The 15586-nt window shown below is 55.6% G+C and overlaps 2 protein-coding genes and 1 long non-coding RNA gene across 7 annotated transcripts, besides 12 other annotated features; all 3 read left to right on the top strand.

Annotated features, from left to right (window-relative positions):
* Window positions 3749–3968: an enhancer, noted in NCBI's record as "active region_15100". NCBI's record gives its function as "activates an Ori minimal core promoter by ATAC-STARR-seq in GM12878 lymphoblastoid cells {active_cell/tissue: GM12878}" and the evidence as "EXISTENCE:reporter gene assay evidence [ECO:0000049][PMID:35858748]".
* Window positions 3794–9590, top strand: LOC107983998 (uncharacterized). 2 transcript variants are annotated; one of them, NR_171682.1, is made up of 3 exons: window positions 3794–4503; window positions 6888–6959; window positions 8917–9590. It is a non-coding gene; the product is annotated as an uncharacterized LOC107983998 (long non-coding RNA). The 2 variants fall into 2 exon arrangements; NR_171683.1 differs by lacking the exon at window positions 6888–6959.
* Window positions 3794–14414, top strand: ZNF581 (zinc finger protein 581). Of its 2 annotated transcripts, none has more exons than XM_017026867.2 (2): window positions 3794–3906; window positions 13344–14414. In XM_017026867.2, the coding sequence occupies exon 2, from the start codon at window positions 13363–13365 to the stop codon at window positions 13954–13956; it is 594 nt and encodes a 197-aa protein (XP_016882356.1). In that variant the 5' UTR covers window positions 3794–3906; window positions 13344–13362; the 3' UTR covers window positions 13957–14414. The 2 variants fall into 2 exon arrangements, with proteins under 2 accessions (XP_016882356.1, NP_057619.1); NM_016535.4 differs by lacking the exon at window positions 3794–3906 and adding an exon at window positions 12440–12565.
* Window positions 4039–4128: an enhancer, noted in NCBI's record as "active region_15101". NCBI's record gives its function as "activates an Ori minimal core promoter by ATAC-STARR-seq in GM12878 lymphoblastoid cells {active_cell/tissue: GM12878}" and the evidence as "EXISTENCE:reporter gene assay evidence [ECO:0000049][PMID:35858748]".
* Window positions 4248–4415: a silencer, noted in NCBI's record as "fragment chr19:56146823-56146990 (GRCh37/hg19 assembly coordinates)". NCBI's record gives its function as "represses an EF-1alpha promoter that drives an FKBP-Casp9 reporter gene in an ReSE screen in both phorbol 12-myristate 13-acetate-treated (for megakaryocytic differentiation) and untreated K562 erythroleukemia cells {active_cell/tissue: K562 | K562(+PMA)}" and the evidence as "EXISTENCE:reporter gene assay evidence [ECO:0000049][PMID:32094911]".
* Window positions 9643–10162: a silencer, noted in NCBI's record as "silent region_11051". NCBI's record gives its function as "represses an Ori minimal core promoter by ATAC-STARR-seq in GM12878 lymphoblastoid cells {active_cell/tissue: GM12878}" and the evidence as "EXISTENCE:reporter gene assay evidence [ECO:0000049][PMID:35858748]".
* On the top strand, window positions 9793–12261 carry ZNF580 (zinc finger protein 580). 3 transcript variants are annotated; one of them, NM_207115.2, is made up of 2 exons: window positions 9793–9974; window positions 11288–12261. In NM_207115.2, exon 2 carries the CDS (start codon window positions 11300–11302, stop codon window positions 11816–11818), a length of 519 nt encoding a protein of 172 aa, NP_996998.1. In that variant the 5' UTR covers window positions 9793–9974; window positions 11288–11299; the 3' UTR covers window positions 11819–12261. The 3 variants fall into 3 exon arrangements, with proteins under 3 accessions (NP_996998.1, NP_057286.1, NP_001156895.1); NM_001163423.2 differs by lacking the exon at window positions 9793–9974 and adding an exon at window positions 10888–10939; NM_016202.2 differs by lacking the exon at window positions 9793–9974 and having other exon boundaries at window positions 10843–12261.
* Window positions 11353–11822: a silencer, noted in NCBI's record as "silent region_11052". NCBI's record gives its function as "represses an Ori minimal core promoter by ATAC-STARR-seq in GM12878 lymphoblastoid cells {active_cell/tissue: GM12878}" and the evidence as "EXISTENCE:reporter gene assay evidence [ECO:0000049][PMID:35858748]".
* Window positions 11354–11648: a silencer, noted in NCBI's record as "tiled region #1979; HepG2 Repressive DNase matched - State 1:Tss, and K562 Repressive non-DNase unmatched - State 4:PromP". NCBI's record gives its function as "represses a minimal TATA promoter and a strong SV40 promoter by Sharpr-MPRA in HepG2 and K562 cells {active_cell/tissue: HepG2 | K562}" and the evidence as "EXISTENCE:reporter gene assay evidence [ECO:0000049][PMID:27701403]".
* Window positions 12253–12472: an enhancer, noted in NCBI's record as "active region_15102". NCBI's record gives its function as "activates an Ori minimal core promoter by ATAC-STARR-seq in GM12878 lymphoblastoid cells {active_cell/tissue: GM12878}" and the evidence as "EXISTENCE:reporter gene assay evidence [ECO:0000049][PMID:35858748]".
* Window positions 12593–12642: a silencer, noted in NCBI's record as "silent region_11053". NCBI's record gives its function as "represses an Ori minimal core promoter by ATAC-STARR-seq in GM12878 lymphoblastoid cells {active_cell/tissue: GM12878}" and the evidence as "EXISTENCE:reporter gene assay evidence [ECO:0000049][PMID:35858748]".
* Window positions 13374–14339: an enhancer, noted in NCBI's record as "H3K27ac-H3K4me1 hESC enhancer chr19:56155949-56156914 (GRCh37/hg19 assembly coordinates)". NCBI's record gives its function as "activates a minimal SCP1, AML or CMV promoter by ChIP-STARR-seq in primed H9 embryonic stem cells {active_cell/tissue: H9 hESC(primed)}" and the evidence as "EXISTENCE:reporter gene assay evidence [ECO:0000049][PMID:30033119]".
* Window positions 13733–13842: a silencer, noted in NCBI's record as "silent region_11054". NCBI's record gives its function as "represses an Ori minimal core promoter by ATAC-STARR-seq in GM12878 lymphoblastoid cells {active_cell/tissue: GM12878}" and the evidence as "EXISTENCE:reporter gene assay evidence [ECO:0000049][PMID:35858748]".
* Window positions 14023–14072: an enhancer, noted in NCBI's record as "active region_15103". NCBI's record gives its function as "activates an Ori minimal core promoter by ATAC-STARR-seq in GM12878 lymphoblastoid cells {active_cell/tissue: GM12878}" and the evidence as "EXISTENCE:reporter gene assay evidence [ECO:0000049][PMID:35858748]".
* Window positions 14083–14132: an enhancer, noted in NCBI's record as "active region_15104". NCBI's record gives its function as "activates an Ori minimal core promoter by ATAC-STARR-seq in GM12878 lymphoblastoid cells {active_cell/tissue: GM12878}" and the evidence as "EXISTENCE:reporter gene assay evidence [ECO:0000049][PMID:35858748]".

Below are 15586 nucleotides of genomic sequence, written 5' to 3' on the forward strand. Positions count from 1 at the left end.
CCTCCCGACTTGACCTCCCAAAGTGCTGGGATGACAGACGTGAGCTACCGTGTCTAGCCGCCATAATTTCTTTCTTTTTTTTTTTGAGACGGAGTCTTGCCCTGTCACCCAGGCTGGAGTGCAGTGGCGCGATCTTGGCTCACTGCAACCTCCACCTCCTGGGTTCAAGCAGTTCCCTGCCTCAGCCTCCCGAGTAGCTGGGATTACAGGCGTCTGCCACCACACCCAGCTAATTTTTGTATTTTTAGTAGAGACGGGGTTTCACCATCTTGGCCAGGCTGGGCTCAAACTCCTGACCTCCTGATCCACCCACCTCGGCCTCTCAATGTGCTGGGATTACAGGCGTGAGCCACCGCACCAGGCCTATCGCCATAATTTCATTCAACCTCTCTGGTCCTCAGTTTCCTTATCTGTGAAATGTTACTGCTGAATTTGAGAAACCAAAGGGCCTTCTTCCAAATTCTAGTCGTGAGTTACGTAAGGTTCCTTAGTGAGGCTGAACGAGTCTTTGAACTTGAGCTTCTGCAGGCTAGAGGAAACACAGTAGTCCCTACCTGCTTCTTCCAGGTTCTAAGGTGGGTGAGACATTTTGATATTTTGGTCTTTGTCGCCCCCACGAGGCCTAGGAGGGTTCCCTGTCGCAGCAGGTGTCCAATAAAGATCAATCCGCCAGGTGCGGTGGCTCAGGCCTGTAATCCCAGCACTATGGGAGGCCGAAGCGGGCGGATCACCTGAGGTCAGGAGTTCCAGACCAGCCTGATCAACATGGAGAAACCCCGTCTTTACTAAAAATACAAATTAGCCCGGAGTGGTGGCACATGCCTGTAATCCCAGCTACTCGGGAGGCTGAGGCAGGAGAATTGCTTGAGCGCGGGAGGCGGAGGTCGCGGTGAGCAGCGCTGAGATCTCGCCATTGCACTCCAGCCTGGGCAACGAGAACGAAACTCCTTCTCAAAAAAAAAAAAAAAAAAAAAAAAAAAAAGTGAGAAAGATTTACTTGCCACCTAGGGTAACTGCTGGTCTTCTTTCCCCCGTTAGTCTCGCTCAGGAGGCGGGTAATCTATTTTAACTCTGCACCTGCTGGACTTTGTGAATGGGCAGTTTACTCTCTGGTCTCAGCAGCCCCATCGATAAAATGGGAATAACTTGTCTCCTTGTCAACAGCCAGATGGTGGTGATTTGCCAAATCTAAGACATCTATTTTCTTGCCTTGTTCTTCTTTATTTTTTCCTCTCAGTTTTAAAACTGGATAGTCCCAGGACTTCTCCCAAACCAGGATGAGTTGCTCACCTATTTTGTCCTCACTTGTATCCTTAAGTCCAAACTGTCATTACCTTATTGACCACCAGGGGGTGCCCTACACACGTAGTACTGTGGTTTAAGAAGACAGCTCAGGAGGAGGCAAAGAAAGAGGGCCCAGTTCCCAGCCTTGCCCTGAGTTCCTACAAACCTTCACGAGCCTGCTCTACTTCACACAGCATCATGTCTCACACTCAGCATCCTCCTGGCCCTATGATATGAACATGTGTGTGGTCCAGTGGAAAGGTCTTTTAAGTACTCCAGCAGCCTCTGCCAACACTGGCTAACCAGCTGGGTGGACGGTCACTGCCTCTCTGCCCACTGTTCCCAACATTTCCAGGAGTTGGCCCAGCATATCCTGGCCGGCTGAGAAGGCTGAGGCCACCTACTTGATTTTATTTATTTATTTTTTGAGACAGGGTTTCACTCTTGTTGCCCAGGCTGGAGTGCAATGGTGCCATCTCGGCTTACTGCAACCTTCGCTTCTTGGGTTCAAGTACTTCTCCTGCCCCAGCCTCCTGAGTAGCTGGGATTACAGTCACACGCCACCACGCCCGGCTAATTGTGTATTTTTAGTAGAGACGGGGTTTCTCCATGTTGGTCAGGCTGGTCTCGAACTCCCGACCTCAGATGATCCTCCGCCTCAGCTTCCCAAAGTGCTGGGATTACAGGTGTGAGCCACCCCGTCCGGCCTCTTTAGGTTATCTTTAGAGCTGGATATCATTTCCCTCCATCACATAGCCTTGCAGAGGGAAGTGACATCATTGTTAACCAAAATAAGTTACTGAGGCAAGAGCCTCAATCACTCCAGAGCTTATATATCCAGAGCTTGAGGGCAGACCTGGGAAAGGCAAGAGTCACAGAAAACCTCTGTGGCTTATGGAAAGGTTTTCAGGAGGCTTAGTATTTATACATTTCCTTAAAGGAGGGAAGGCAGGTGGGAAGAGGGTGACAGATGGAAGAATGATTGAGCTCATCGTTTTTGTTCTGTACCTGGGAAGATAAGCATTATCAGTGGGAAACCTAACAGACTTTAGTTTTAGGAGCTAGACTTAGATTGCAAACCTAAAGTTACAAGGGACATGTTCTTCTTCTTATTATTATTTTTATTTGAGACAGAGTCACTCTGTCATCCACACTGGAATGCAGTGGCGCCATCTTGGCTCACTGGAACCTCCAGCTCCCAGGTTCAAGCGATTCTCCTGCCTGGGCCTCCCAAGTAGTTAGGATTACAGGTGTGCGCCACCACGCCTGACTAATTTTTTTTTTGTATTTTTTTTTTTAGTAGAGATGGGGTTTCACTATGTTGGCCAGGCTGGTCTTGAACGTCTGACCTCAGGTGATCCGCCCGCCTCGACCTCCCAAATTGTTGGGATTACAGGCGTGAGCCACAGCACTCGGCCCATGTTCTTGTTTTATGGGAGGATGGAGGACAGCAAACAACAATGTGTACTGGTGGTCACGTGGAGGTACTTGAGGCGCTTTGTTTTTCTGTGAGGGTCTGGCTAACGTGTAATGCTTTGACACAAGGTTCTGAAGCAACAGCTGTTGATCTGGGAAGCAGATAGCAGTGTTGCATAACTCAGTCTCCAGGCTTAACCTTCCCTTTGGCATAATGAATTTGGCAGCCCTGAGACTTTTAAAATAAAAGTCTTTACATCCTACTAGCCAGCTTTGACTAGCAGTGTGATCCAGGGCCAATGACTGCCCCTCTATGGCCTTGGCGTTACCACCTAACCAATAGGGATACGGTACTCCATTTTCTTGCCATGGAGCAAATCAAGAGTTAGGGCCTGACTGTCTTCAACTGTCTCATGAGTTGAAGAATTTCAGCCCTCTGCCTTTGCTCTGTAGCAACAGACAAATCACTAGACCTTTCTGATTTCAGGTCCTATTTGTAGAAAGACTTTGTACTGTCTTTCCTACTCTAGAAAGTCTTTCCTGGCCGGGTACGGTGGCACACGCCTGTAATCCCAGCACTTTGGGAGGCCGAGGTGGGTGGATCACTTGAGGTCAGGAGTTCAAGACCAGCCTGGCCAACATGGTGAAATCCCCATCTCTACTAAAAGTACAAAAATTAGCCGAGGGTGGTGGTGTGTACCTGTAATCCCAGCTACTCGGGAGGCTGAGGCAGGAGAATAGCTTGAACCCGGGAGGTGGAGGTTGCAGCGAGCCGAGATCACACACTGCACTCCAGCCTGGGCAACAGAGCGTGACTCCGTCTCAAAAAAAAAAAAAAAAAAAAAAAAGAAAGAAAAGTCCTTTTTTTTTTTTTTTTTTGACAAAAGCCATCTCTGTTGTATTCCCTCCCTCAGCATCCGGCACGGCGCCAAATAGTGATTTCATTTTAACTTTTGTGTAGTGTGTGTGTGGAGTAGCAAGGTGCGCGACGCAGGAACCTTTCTCTTGTGGGTGCGTTTCTGGCCCGAGTGCTTTCCTGCTGCTCTCCGAATCCGGAAGCTGCTGGAGAAGTCGGAGCATCCCGGAAGTCGTCACTGCGGCCGCTTCCGGACGTGAAAGTTTGCTGCGTAGGGATAGGGAGACCGGGCCGGATTGCGGGGAGTGAGCAGGTTCAGCAGTGACGGCATTCTTAAGAGTCCTGCCCAAGTGAGGGACTTGGGGTGTGGGACAGAGTGGCCCCCAGGGCAGTGGGCGTTGGAAACTGAGAGGCCCTGCGAAGGAGGCTTGGGGAGGGGCTACGGTGACCAGGGGACGAGGTATAGGAAGAGGAGGGCGGAAAGCCTTGAGGGTGGGCTTCTTGGATCCCAATTGCCCCAGAGGCACAGGCCTGGGCATCACTGTATTATTTCCCGAGGGGAGAAGGGGCTATTTCCCATGGGAAGACAAAGTGGGATGAATAGTGGACCTTGAGAAGAGGGGGTGGCCAGGAAAAGGTTCCTGAAGGAGGCAGGACCCAGACTGCAGGCTGGGGAGGGTTTGGGCAGCCAGAGGGAGGTGAGGGTGCTGGAGCGGGGGTCAATCGGTCACTCCGGCCGGAGATCTGAGTGGCCTCTGCCCCCTCTGCGCTGTGGAGTGCATCTGATTGCCAGCCTCGCTGGACCGTTGAGAGGATTCATCGAGACCCTGGATATGAATATGCAGTGTGAACTGAAGTTTGGGGACATGAGTAATCAGTCACAGTGGCCCAAGATTTGAGGTGTAAATGGAGAAGTCAGAATGATTCGCTGCAGCTGTCTGGAACAGGTTGGGTGAGGGCAAGGGTGGGAAAGGTGGCTGAGGCCAGGTTGTGAGAGGCCTTTCATGGCAGGCTGAGGGGGTTATACTATAGGGAGGATTTTAAAAAGAGGAGCTGGTGGACTGGTGAGCAGGGCATATAGGTGACACCTAGCCAACTTGAGAGGTCAGAATACATGATTCCAGAAGGCTAAGGAGAAGGCTGCCAGTAGAGGAAAGGGGAAGAATTCCCAGGGCGAGGAAAACACATAAGCCTTTGCGTGTGGAGCTGTGTAAATTCAAGGTCTGGCCAGGGGGCTGTGAGATGCCGTGTGTGCTTGGAGCACAGGAATGAGAAGTGAGGTGAGGAAGTGGCTGGGCCACCTCACAAAGGGCCTCAAATTCTAGGCTGAGAAACTCGGACTTGGTCCTGAGGGTAAAGGGGGCCGGGAGAATGTTATGCATGGTGCTGAAGTTGCATTCAACACAGCTGTGAGAAGCATCTGTCAGGGTCAGGCCAGTGTGGGAGGGGAACTGGAGGCCAGGGTACCAGATATGGTGGTCCAGGTGAGAAGGAAGGGGCCAGAACTTGGCTTGGAGAACGGAGGTCAGTGCCCTCAGGGGGTGGAGGTGATGGAACTTGGTGCTTGTCTGGCTTTGGGGAGTGAGGGAGTGGGTGGAAATGGGGACGTCCAAAGTTCTAGATGGTGTGGCAAGAATTTTGTCTAGATGGTGTGGCTTCCTCATGATCATGTCTTGGGGTTGAGCAGGGGTTCTCTTTGGTGGGGAGCTGGGTAGGGAGGTAATGCTTCACTTTTGGATGGGGCGATCAAATTCATTCATGTATTCATTCAACCAATATCGAATTGATTCCTTACCGTTTCCTGAAAGACCTTTGATAGATTCTGAGGGTAGAATGTTGACCAGGATGGAGCTGGGCCTTGGAGAGTGGGGAAGGCAGGCAGTAACACAGCAGGCAGTAGATCAACGAGGCCATATCATGGATTGTGCTGTGGGATGTGAAGGAAATGAACAGACGGAGGACGCAGAGCAGGGCACCTGGAGCTACCACGGTCACTAAAAGCTGCTATGACCAAGTGTTCTGTGAGCTGAAACCTGAAGGCCAGGAAGGAGTCACTCTTGTGAGGGGCTGAAAGGAACATCACAGAGAGGGGAGGAGCTAGCACAAAAGCTCTCCAGATGGGAGAGGCTGGTGCACTGGGCAAGGGAAAGCCAGCACCATGGTGCCCAGAAGGGAAGGCAGCTGGGGGGCCAGTCTACGCAGGGCCTTGCAGAGTGTCTGGGTTTACTCTAAGGGCAGAGGGGAAGGTTTTGATCATGACGCACTGCAGTCTGAAACTCCTGGGCTCAGGCAATCCTGTCTCAGCTTCCTGGGTAGTTGGGACTGTAGGCAGGCACCACCACCTCTGCCTAATTATTATTATCATTTTTTTTGGAGAGACAGGGTCTCAATATGTTGCTGTGTCTCAGAGGGGAAGGTTTTAAGTCAGGGAATGATTCTGTGAGCTTAAAAAATCACTTGGAAATTGCCATAGGGAAGGGAGGGAGAAGGCCAGGCATGGTGGCTCACGCCTATAATCCCAGGACTTTGGGAGGCTGAGGCAGGCGGATCGCTTGAGGCCAGGAGTTCGAGACCAGTCTGGGCAACAGGGTGAAACCCTGTCTCTTCTAAAATTACAAAAAATTAGCCGGCCATGGTGGTGCGCGCCTGTAATCCCAGCTACTCAGGAGGCTGAGGCGGGAGAATCGCTTGAACCTGGGAGGTGGAGGCTGCAGTGAGCTGAGATCGTGCCACTGTACTCAAGCCTGGGCGACAGAGTGAGACTCTGTCTGAAAAAAGACACAGCAACAAAAAAAACGAGAGGGGAGGGAGAGAGTGATGGAGGCGGAGGCTGCTGCTGCTATAAGCTGGGCGTAAGTGGTGGTGGTTTGCGCTGGGGTGGCAGCGGCGATGGTGGGATTACAGGGAAGTGTGTGGCTTGCTGACAGGGGTCATGTGCACTGACCTGGTGTGGGCAGAGGCAGGTGCTATCCTGGCCATCCCGCCTGCGGATGTGTGACCTCAGGCCAATCACACGATCTCTTTGAGCTCTGCTTCCCTCATCTGTAAAACAGGGATCCTCATGGTGCTTTCCTTGTAGCTCTGCCCTGAGGATGCTGTGCGTTTAGCAATGGCTGTTCCCGAGTGAGGGCTCAATAAATGTTGCTTATTGTTGTCATTATTTCTGGGGATAGCAGTGGGGGTGGGGGTTGTGGCCACTACAGTGCCACTAGTTATATGGTCTGAAACTCAAGAGAGGGATTGTGTTAGTTTCATTGTGTCTCTATGAGTGAATACCTGAGGCTGGGTAATTTATAAACAAAAGAAGCTTAATTGGTTTACGGTTCTGCAGGCTATACAGGACGTGTGGTCCTGGCAGCTGCTTCTGGCGAGGGCTTCAGGAAGCTTACAATCATGGTGAAAGGTAAAGGGGTAGTTGGCATATCTCATGGTGGGGGGAAAAGACTGGCAGGAGGTGACACGCTTTTTTGTTTGTTTGTTTGTTTGTTTGTTTAGATGGAGTCTTGCTCTGTTGCCAGGCTGGAGTGCAGTGGCACAATCTCGGTTCACTGCAACCTCTGCATCCCGGGTTCAAGTGATTCTCCTGCCTCAGCCTCCCAAGTAGCTGGGACTACAGGCGCCTGCCACCACGCCCAGCTAATTTTTGTGTTTTTAGTAGAGACCAGGTTACACCGTGTTGGCCAGGATGGTCTTGATCTTGACCTCGTAATCTGCCCGCCTCGCCCTCCCAAAGTGTTGGGATTACAGGCGTGAGCCACCACGCTCAGCCTGACATGCTCTTTTAAACAACTAGATCTCATGTGAACTCAGCGAGATCTCACTCATTACCTCGAGGATGGCACCAAGCCATTCATGAAGGATCCACCCCCATGATCCAAATGCCTCCCACCAAGCCCCGTCTCCAACACTGGGGATTACATTTCAACATGAGATTTGGAGGAGGCCAGGTGTGGTGGCTCAACCCTGTAATCCCAGCACTTTGGGAGGCTGAGGCAGGTGGATCACCTGAGGTCAGGAGTTGGAGACCAGGTGGCTAATATGGTGAAACCTGTCTCTACCAAAAATATAAAATTGTTATATTTTATATAATACAGCTGGGCGTGGTAGTGCATACCTGTAATCTCAGCTATTTGGGAGGTGGAAACAGGAGAATCACCTGAGCCCGGGAGTTGGAGGTTGCAGTGAGCCTAGAATTGCGCCACTGCACTTTAGCCTGGGCAACAGAGCAAGACTCCATCTCCAAAAAAAAAAAAAAAAAAGAAAAAAAAAAGATTTGGAGGGGACAGACATCTTAACTATATCAGGGATCTTGGCAAGACACTCAGGTTGGATAATTGTCTAAGTAGACCAGGGGTTCTCAGCTAGGAGCCATGTTGCCTCCTAGAGGACACGGGCAATGTGTAGAGACATTTTGGGTTGTCACAACTTGGGGTTGGGGGAGGGTGCTACTGCCATCTGGTGGGTGGAGGCCAAGGATGCTGCTCAACACTCTACAGTGCACAGGATGGGCCCCCACAACAAAGAGTGGTCCGGCTCAAAATGTGTGGTGGCCCACGCCTGTAGTCCCAGCTGTTTGGGAGACTGAAGTGGAAGGATCACTTGTGCCTGGGAGGGTGAGGCTGCAGTGAGCCAGAAGCATGCCACTGCACTCCAGCGTGGGCGACAGAGTGAGACTCTGTCTCAAAAAATATACATACTGCCCAGTAAAATGTTTAAAAAGTACCTTGTGTCCCAAACCAAATATAACTGTGAGGCCTTTTGGGCCCTTGGGCCTCCAGTTTACAACTGGTTGACAGTGGTCTCTGGAATTGTTCCATAAGGTAGGAGCCATATGTGGCTTAAATTTTGATTATGGGAAATTAGTATTTTTTGAGACAGTCTCCCTCTGTTGCCCAGGCTGCAGTATAGTGGCACGATCTTGGCACACTGCAACCTCCACCTCCTGGGTTCAAGCGATTCTCCTGCCTCAGCCTCCCAAGTAGCTGGGACTGTAGGGGAGCACCACTACGGCCGGCTAATTTTTGTACTTTTAGTAGAGAAGGAGTTTCACCATGTTGGCCAGGCTGGTCTCGAACTCCTGACCTCAGGTGATCCGCCCGCCTTGGCCTCCGAAAGTGCTGGGGTTACAGGTGTGAGCCACCGTGCTGATTATGGGAAATGTAATACAATTTAAAATTCAGGTCCTCTGATACACCAGCCACATTTCAAGAGTGTAAGAGTCCCACGTGGCTAGTGACTGTCATAGAACTTTCCACCATTGCAGAAAGTTCTGATGGACAGTGCTCTAGGATGTAGCTGTGGCACCCCAGGGTCTTGGGGCTCGCTGTGACAGTTACTCCTCTTCTGTCCCCCACTCTCAGCTGCACCTGCAGATGCTGCTGCTGCCGCCCTCCTGCGAGGCCGTGGCGCCACGTGGCTGGAGGAGGAGCTGCAGCTGCCCCGAGTGCTGCCGCGTGTGCAGCTCTCCAGTGCGGCTGCAGCGCCACCGCGCGTTGCTTTCGACGCCGGAGTCCTTCGCATGCGCAGCCAGCGCCCGGGCCTCAAGTGCCCCAGGACCTGGCGCAGCCCGCGAGCCCGCATCAGGCTTCCAGTGGGCCCCGTGGGCAGTGCCAGCCTTTCCCACCTCCGCATCTGGCAAAGCCTGGCCTTCGCTGCGCTTCGGTGTCGCCACATGCCTTCTGGAAATATCACACCTCCCCACCTGCGCATGCAGCCGTCTGGCCCTCTGTGGGCCTCGGTTCCCGCATGTGCCCCGTGGAAAGAACATACCTTCCCCAACTATCTGGCAGCGTCTGGCCTTCTCCGGGCCTCGGCCTCCCCATTTGCTGGGTGGAGAATCACGGCCCGGCCACATCGGAGCCAATGGCTGGTCTCTGGACCTCGGTCTCCACATTTGCTCAGCCGGCAGGAACATCCCTTCTCCCGCCCTCTACCTCGGTGGGTGGCCACGGCCGAGCAGGCAGCGACGGCCCAGTGGAAAGAGGACAAACCCTTGTGGGCCTTAGGGCGAAGACGTAACTTTGCTTAGTCTCGGTTTATTGGCCGATCTCTTGTCAAGCGGCGGAATCGTTCCGTTCGGGAGGTGGGAGGGGAGCGGGGCCGCCGGGGGCGGGCGTCTTCAGTGGACCCCACGCCTCCGGTCCCCTCCCCGCAGGGCGCTCCGCAGAGGCGAGGGGTGGGAGCGCCGGCTCCAGGCGGCGGAACCTCCGCACTGGGCTCGCGCGCTTCCGGCCGGCGCCTTTTCCCAGGGACTCCGCCAACCCCTCGCACCCCCGCGCCCCCAGTCCCCGCGTCCCCGGCGCCGCCGGCCCGGAGCTGCCCGGAAGTCTCGGTTCCGCCGCCGGCGCTCGCCAGGGGAAGCCCGGGGCCGCCCGGGACCTCGGCCCGTTCCTCCGGACCCGAGAGGCCGCCGCACGGGGTACGGGGGCCGGGATGGAGGGAGGAGCCTGGCCCTGGGACGACGCCGGGGCCAGGCAGGCTGGGGGAGTGCGCTGGAGCCACCCGGGATGGGGGTGGGGGTCGGGAGCGGCAGGATCGGGCGGAGGGACGGGAGGGGAAGTCGAGGCGCCAGGGCTCCTTGGGGAAGTGAAGGCAATAGGAGGGGCCCCAGGGCCAGGGGACAGGCGGTGTGTAGCGGGATGGGGGCGAAAACGCCCGGGCGCTGGGGTTCCCATAAACAAGGGGAGCAGAGCAAAAGAACGGGCGGGGGACCACGCTGTGTGTAACAGGGAGAGGGATGGGGCTCCTGGAAGAGGTGAACACGAGGAGAAAGAGAGATGCCAGACGTACACAGAAAGGAGGGGAAAGTGGGCTTGGGAGAGGTGCTGTGGGAAGCGGAGTCCCGGAGCCTGGTGTGCATAACGGGGTTTGGGAGAAGGCCCCTGATGGGTACAGAAAGAAGTAACGATGTCACCGCCATATATGGGGGGCGAGAGAAAAGGGGGCCTTTGGGGAGAATGTAGCAGGTAGCCAGGTTGGGGGGGCGGGGTATACAGAAGGAAGGCATTTGAGCCATTTTGGGGTGTATAGATGTAGTAAGACGATGGGTTCCGTAGTGGGGAGAGGTGACTAGACTTCGAGGTGCTAAGTGTAGGAACAGGATGGAAAAGCCCTAGTGAAATGTGGGGAATTGGGTTAGTGGGGCTCTGGGGAGGTACCTAGAGAGGAAGTGAGGGAGGCCACGGAATATGAAGATGGGGAGGCCCTGCGGCATGTAGTGGGGACGGAGGGCCAGGAGGCCGATACGGGGGCCGGTGGGGGGGTAGGGGGCGGCAAAGGGAGGGGAAGTAAACTGAACTGGGGCTGGGCAACAGGAAAAAAGAAGAAACCACAGATTAGAGAAATCTCGGCGGTCAGGAGGCCCGGGGTCTAAGATGTAAAGAGGTAAACAGATTTAGGGATTGATTGTCTGCTGGGGTGGGTTGAGAGGAGAAAAGGGAAGAAAAGTCGGGGGACTACGTCCTCAGACCTGACCTGAGTGGTGAGAGGTGGACCCAGGAGGAGTGGCAGGTGGTGGCGGGGTTTTGCAGAGCTCAGTTGGAGGCCCTCTCCGAGGCAGCTTGATGGAACGTGGGAGAGCCGGGCTGGAGTCACAGTTTTTATTTTGCTAGGGAGGTAGTCAGTGGCGCACAAAGGGTAACAAGCAGTGATAGTGGGGATGCTTTCCATTTTAGGAAACTTTTCCTAAAAGGAAGTGGCAATTTTAACTAATCTCCCCTCCGCCGCTCCCAGCTGCCGCTCCAGATGCTGCTGCTGCCGCCGCGGCCACCCCACCCTCGGTCCTCCTCTCCGGAGGCCATGGACCCACCGCCCCCCAAGGCTCCCCCTTTCCCCAAGGCGGAAGGCCCCTCCTCCACTCCTTCCTCGGCGGCGGGGCCCCGACCCCCGCGGCTGGGCCGCCACCTCCTCATCGACGCCAATGGGGTCCCCTACACATACACGGTGCAGCTGGAGGAGGAGCCCCGGGGCCCGCCCCAGCGCGAGGCGCCCCCAGGAGAGCCCGGCCCTCGCAAGGGCTACAGCTGCCCGGAGTGCGCCCGTGTCTTTGCCAGCCCTCTGCGGCTGCAGAGCCACCGCGTGTCGCACTCGGACCTCAAGCCCTTCACGTGCGGCGCCTGCGGCAAGGCCTTCAAGCGCTCCAGCCACCTGTCGCGGCATCGCGCCACGCACCGCGCCCGCGCCGGGCCGCCGCACACCTGCCCGCTCTGCCCACGCCGCTTCCAGGACGCCGCGGAGCTGGCGCAGCACGTGCGCCTCCACTAAGCTCGAGACCCGGCCTGTGCTGCCCTGCCCGTCTCAGGGCCACCAAGTCTGACCCACACAGCGTCACTCACTCCCACACACACCCCCTGGCTCTGCTGAGGTTACTGCCTTACCCTGGGCCTCAGTTTCCCCACCTTCCAAAGGGAGGAGCATCATTCCTTCCTTACCCCCTTTCTAGCTGTGTGATGTAGACCAAAGTCGTTGCCCCTCCCTGGGCCTGGGAACCAGTCGGAACTGGGTTCCAGTCCAGCTGTGCTGTGTGAGCCTGTGCAAGTGACATGACCTCTCTAAACCTTGGTTTTCTGCTCTCTGGAGCGGTGAACCGGTGGTTGTCTGCGGGGAAGAGATGATAAAGAGCACGGGCACGGTCTGGTTCATTTCTGTATCTACCCCCCTTCCGCCCACGCCCCCGACCCTTTGCTCAATAAACATTCCGCACTCCATTTTCAGGCTCTTCCTTGCGTGTGCGTGCACGTTGGGTGCTGGGGGGTGGAGACCGGATCTTCCTCGCTTGGGTACTTTCCTCTCGGTGTGTGTTTCTGGCCGGAGCCGTTTCGCGACGGCCCGGGCGCCCCGCCCCAACCTTCCTTCCCTAGACCCTCTTCTCTCCCTTCGGCTTCTCTCTTTCGGCCGGCGCCGCCAGTTCCTGGGGCACACCCAGAGGTCCCCTTCTCGCCGCCGCCTGCAACTGCGAGGGTAGCCCGGGGCCGCTTGGAGTCGCCCGGACCTGAGAGGCTGCTGCACTGGGTACGGGGGCCGGGAGGAGGAAGGGGGCTGGGGGCGGGCGGCGGGAGGGGCTGGACCGCGTGGAGGGTACCTGGGCCGGGGCGGGAGTGGGGCAGACGCCGGAGGGGGCTGTTCTGGAGCTTGGAGGGGGCGAGAACTTACACAGAAAGGCCCAGAAAGCGAGGGCTGCGGCCCCGGGGGTGGAACCCCGGAGAGCGCTGGGACCTAGAACGAGCCTGGTGGAGGCCGGGCGAGGACTAGAGAGAACCTGAGGTGGGTGGACGGGTGGGAGCACGGAGTTGTTCAGACACGTGGCTGGAGAGAGGGCCGGAACCTGGGGGTCCTAACGTCGGAGCCCCTGTGAATAGGCTTGGCTTGTATGGAGGGGGTCAGGAAAGGCTTGAGTATGTAGCATAGGCCAACACGCAGACCCTGGAAAGGGCTAGAAGGAGGGGAGGGAGAGGCCTGGAGGCCTGCGGGGTGGGGCACCCAGTGACCTGGGAGGGCACAAAGAGGAAGGTTAGAGCGAGGTCCAGGTTGTGCAGAGGAGGTCAAGAGATCCTGTGAGTACAGTGTATGGTGGAGCACCGAGGCTAGGAGAGGTTTTCCAAGGAGGAAGACCCTGGGGACCTTTTAGGGGGCCACAGACTCCAGCTGTGAGCGGGACTGGAAAAGAGGGACTGAGGGGCAGCAGGATGCAGAGGTCCTGGGCCGGGTATAGGGAGGGAAAAGGATGGAGCCTGTGGTGCTGAGCTGCCCTCTTCTATATAACCTTCTTATCCCATCTCCCATCCACCAGGCCTCAGCCAGCCCTCCGGATGCTGGTGCTGCCATCCCCCTGCCCTCAGCCTCTGGCATTTTCCTCCGTTGAGACCATGGAGGGCCCTCCCCGTCGGACTTGCCGCTCCCCAGAACCTGGACCTTCCTCCTCCATCGGATCTCCCCAGGCTTCATCTCCTCCAAGGCCCAACCACTACCTGCTTATTGACACTCAGGGTGTCCCCTACACAGTGCTGGTGGACGAGGAGTCACAGAGGGAGCCAGGGGCCAGTGGGGCTCCAGGCCAGAAAAAGTGCTACAGCTGCCCCGTGTGCTCAAGGGTCTTCGAGTACATGTCCTACCTTCAGCGACACAGCATCACCCACTCGGAGGTAAAGCCCTTCGAGTGTGACATCTGTGGGAAGGCATTCAAGCGCGCCAGCCACTTGGCACGGCACCATTCCATTCACCTGGCGGGTGGTGGGCGGCCCCACGGCTGCCCGCTCTGCCCTCGCCGCTTCCGGGATGCGGGTGAGCTGGCCCAGCACAGCCGGGTGCACTCTGGGGAACGCCCGTTTCAGTGTCCACACTGCCCTCGCCGCTTTATGGAGCAGAACACACTGCAGAAACACACGCGGTGGAAGCATCCATGAGCCGGGCTGCCGGGTGCCCCAGGTACCACAGGACTTTGCAGGGAGCCTGGACTCCTGTCCAGACACCTGGTGAGAGCCTGAGGCTGGTGTTCAGGGCCCTGGACACAGACACAGAGCAGCCGCATCTCAAAGGCAGAGCCCTGCCTGAAGGAGGAATCCGTGAGTAATCTTCAGGTCCTCCGTGTTCTGGAGCTGAGATGGGAATGAGCCCCTACACAGAATGGAGTCCTCTAGCCTAAAGATATCAGCTGTTCCATGGCAGAGCCTTGACTGGATGGAGGTGGGGAGTGTGGTGTGTAAAGTCTCTGGCCTCATAAAAGGTGGCTGTGGGTCGTCAGGAATCTGCGCCATCTTCCTGGGGCTTCTGCGCTGTTGTTGGGGAAGGGACCCCAGTCCTGCCTTCCACCCCCCAACCAGGCCTGAGACTGATCAAACAATAAACACGTTTCCCACTCTGAGCACTCGAGGTTTGTTTTTAGAGACAGCATCTCAGACCCTCTTTGGTGGCCGTCTAGCAGGGAGACCTCAGCTTGCCTGGCTGGGGAATGGGAAGGTTGGCCTGCCTTGGGGTTATCCCCTCCTCAGCTCCTGAAGACCTGGGTCATCTGGGAAGAATGTTTTTAACTGAAACAATTTTAAAACCACAATCTCCTGTTACAAACACATTTTATATGGCAATAGAGTATACAGATAAGCAAAATACACGTGAACCAAGTTTCCTTTTTTTTTTTTTGAGACGGAGTTTCACTCTTTTTGCCCAGGCTGGAGTCCAATGGCACAATCTCGGATCACCGCAATGCCTCCTGGGTTCAAGCGATTCTCCTGCCTCAGCCTCCCTAGTAGCTGGGATTACAAGCGTGTGCCACCATGCCCAGCTAATTTTGTATTTTTAGTAGAGACGGGGTTTCTCCATGTTGGTCAGGCTGTTCTTGAACTCCCAACCTCAGGTGATTCACCTGCCTCGGCCTCCCAAAGTGCTGGGATTCCAGGTGTGAGCCACAGCGCCTGGCCTCTTTTTTTTTAGACGGAGTTTCGCTCTTGTCACCCAGGCTGGAGTGTAATGGCGTGATCTCAGCTCACTGCAACCTTCACCTCCTGGGTTCAAGCGATTCTCCTGCTTCAGCCTCCCAAGTAGTTGGGGTTACAAGCGTGTGCCACCATGCCCAGCTAATTTTGTACCTTTAGTAGAGATGGGTTTCACCGTGTTTGTCAGGCTGGTCTCGAACTCCTGACCTGAGGTGATCCACACACCTCGGCCTCCCTCAGGGCACTAGGCCTCGAAACAAAAGTTTTTTTTTTTTTTTTCTTTTGAGACGGAGTCTTGCTCTGTCGCCCAGGCTGGAGTGCAGTGGCGCAATCTCGGCTCACTGCAAGCTCCGCCTCCCGAGTTCATGCCATTCTCCTGCCTCAGCCTCCTGAGTAGGTGGGACTACAGGCGCCCGCCACCATGCCTGTCTAATTTTTTGTATTTTTAGTAGAGACAGGGTTTCACTGTGTTAGCCAGGATGGTCTCGATCTCCTGACCTCGTGATCCGCCCCCCTCTGCCTCCCAAAGTGTTGGGATTACAGGCGTGAGCCACTGCGCCCGGCCCACAAAAATTTCTTTACCATAGTTAGCTTTAGTTTGTGC

This window comes from Homo sapiens, chromosome 19 (assembly GCF_000001405.40).
Source record: "Homo sapiens chromosome 19, GRCh38.p14 Primary Assembly".
Classification (NCBI taxonomy): Eukaryota; Metazoa; Chordata; class Mammalia; order Primates; family Hominidae; genus Homo; species Homo sapiens.

Bases quoted from the DNA above. Each gene is read 5' to 3' on its own strand.
- ZNF580 (NM_207115.2), top strand. From the start codon at position 11,300: ATGCTGCTGCTGCCGCCGCGGCCACCCCACCCTCGGTCCTCCTCTCCG.
- ZNF581 (XM_017026867.2), top strand. From the start codon at position 13,363: ATGCTGGTGCTGCCATCCCCCTGCCCTCAGCCTCTGGCATTTTCCTCC.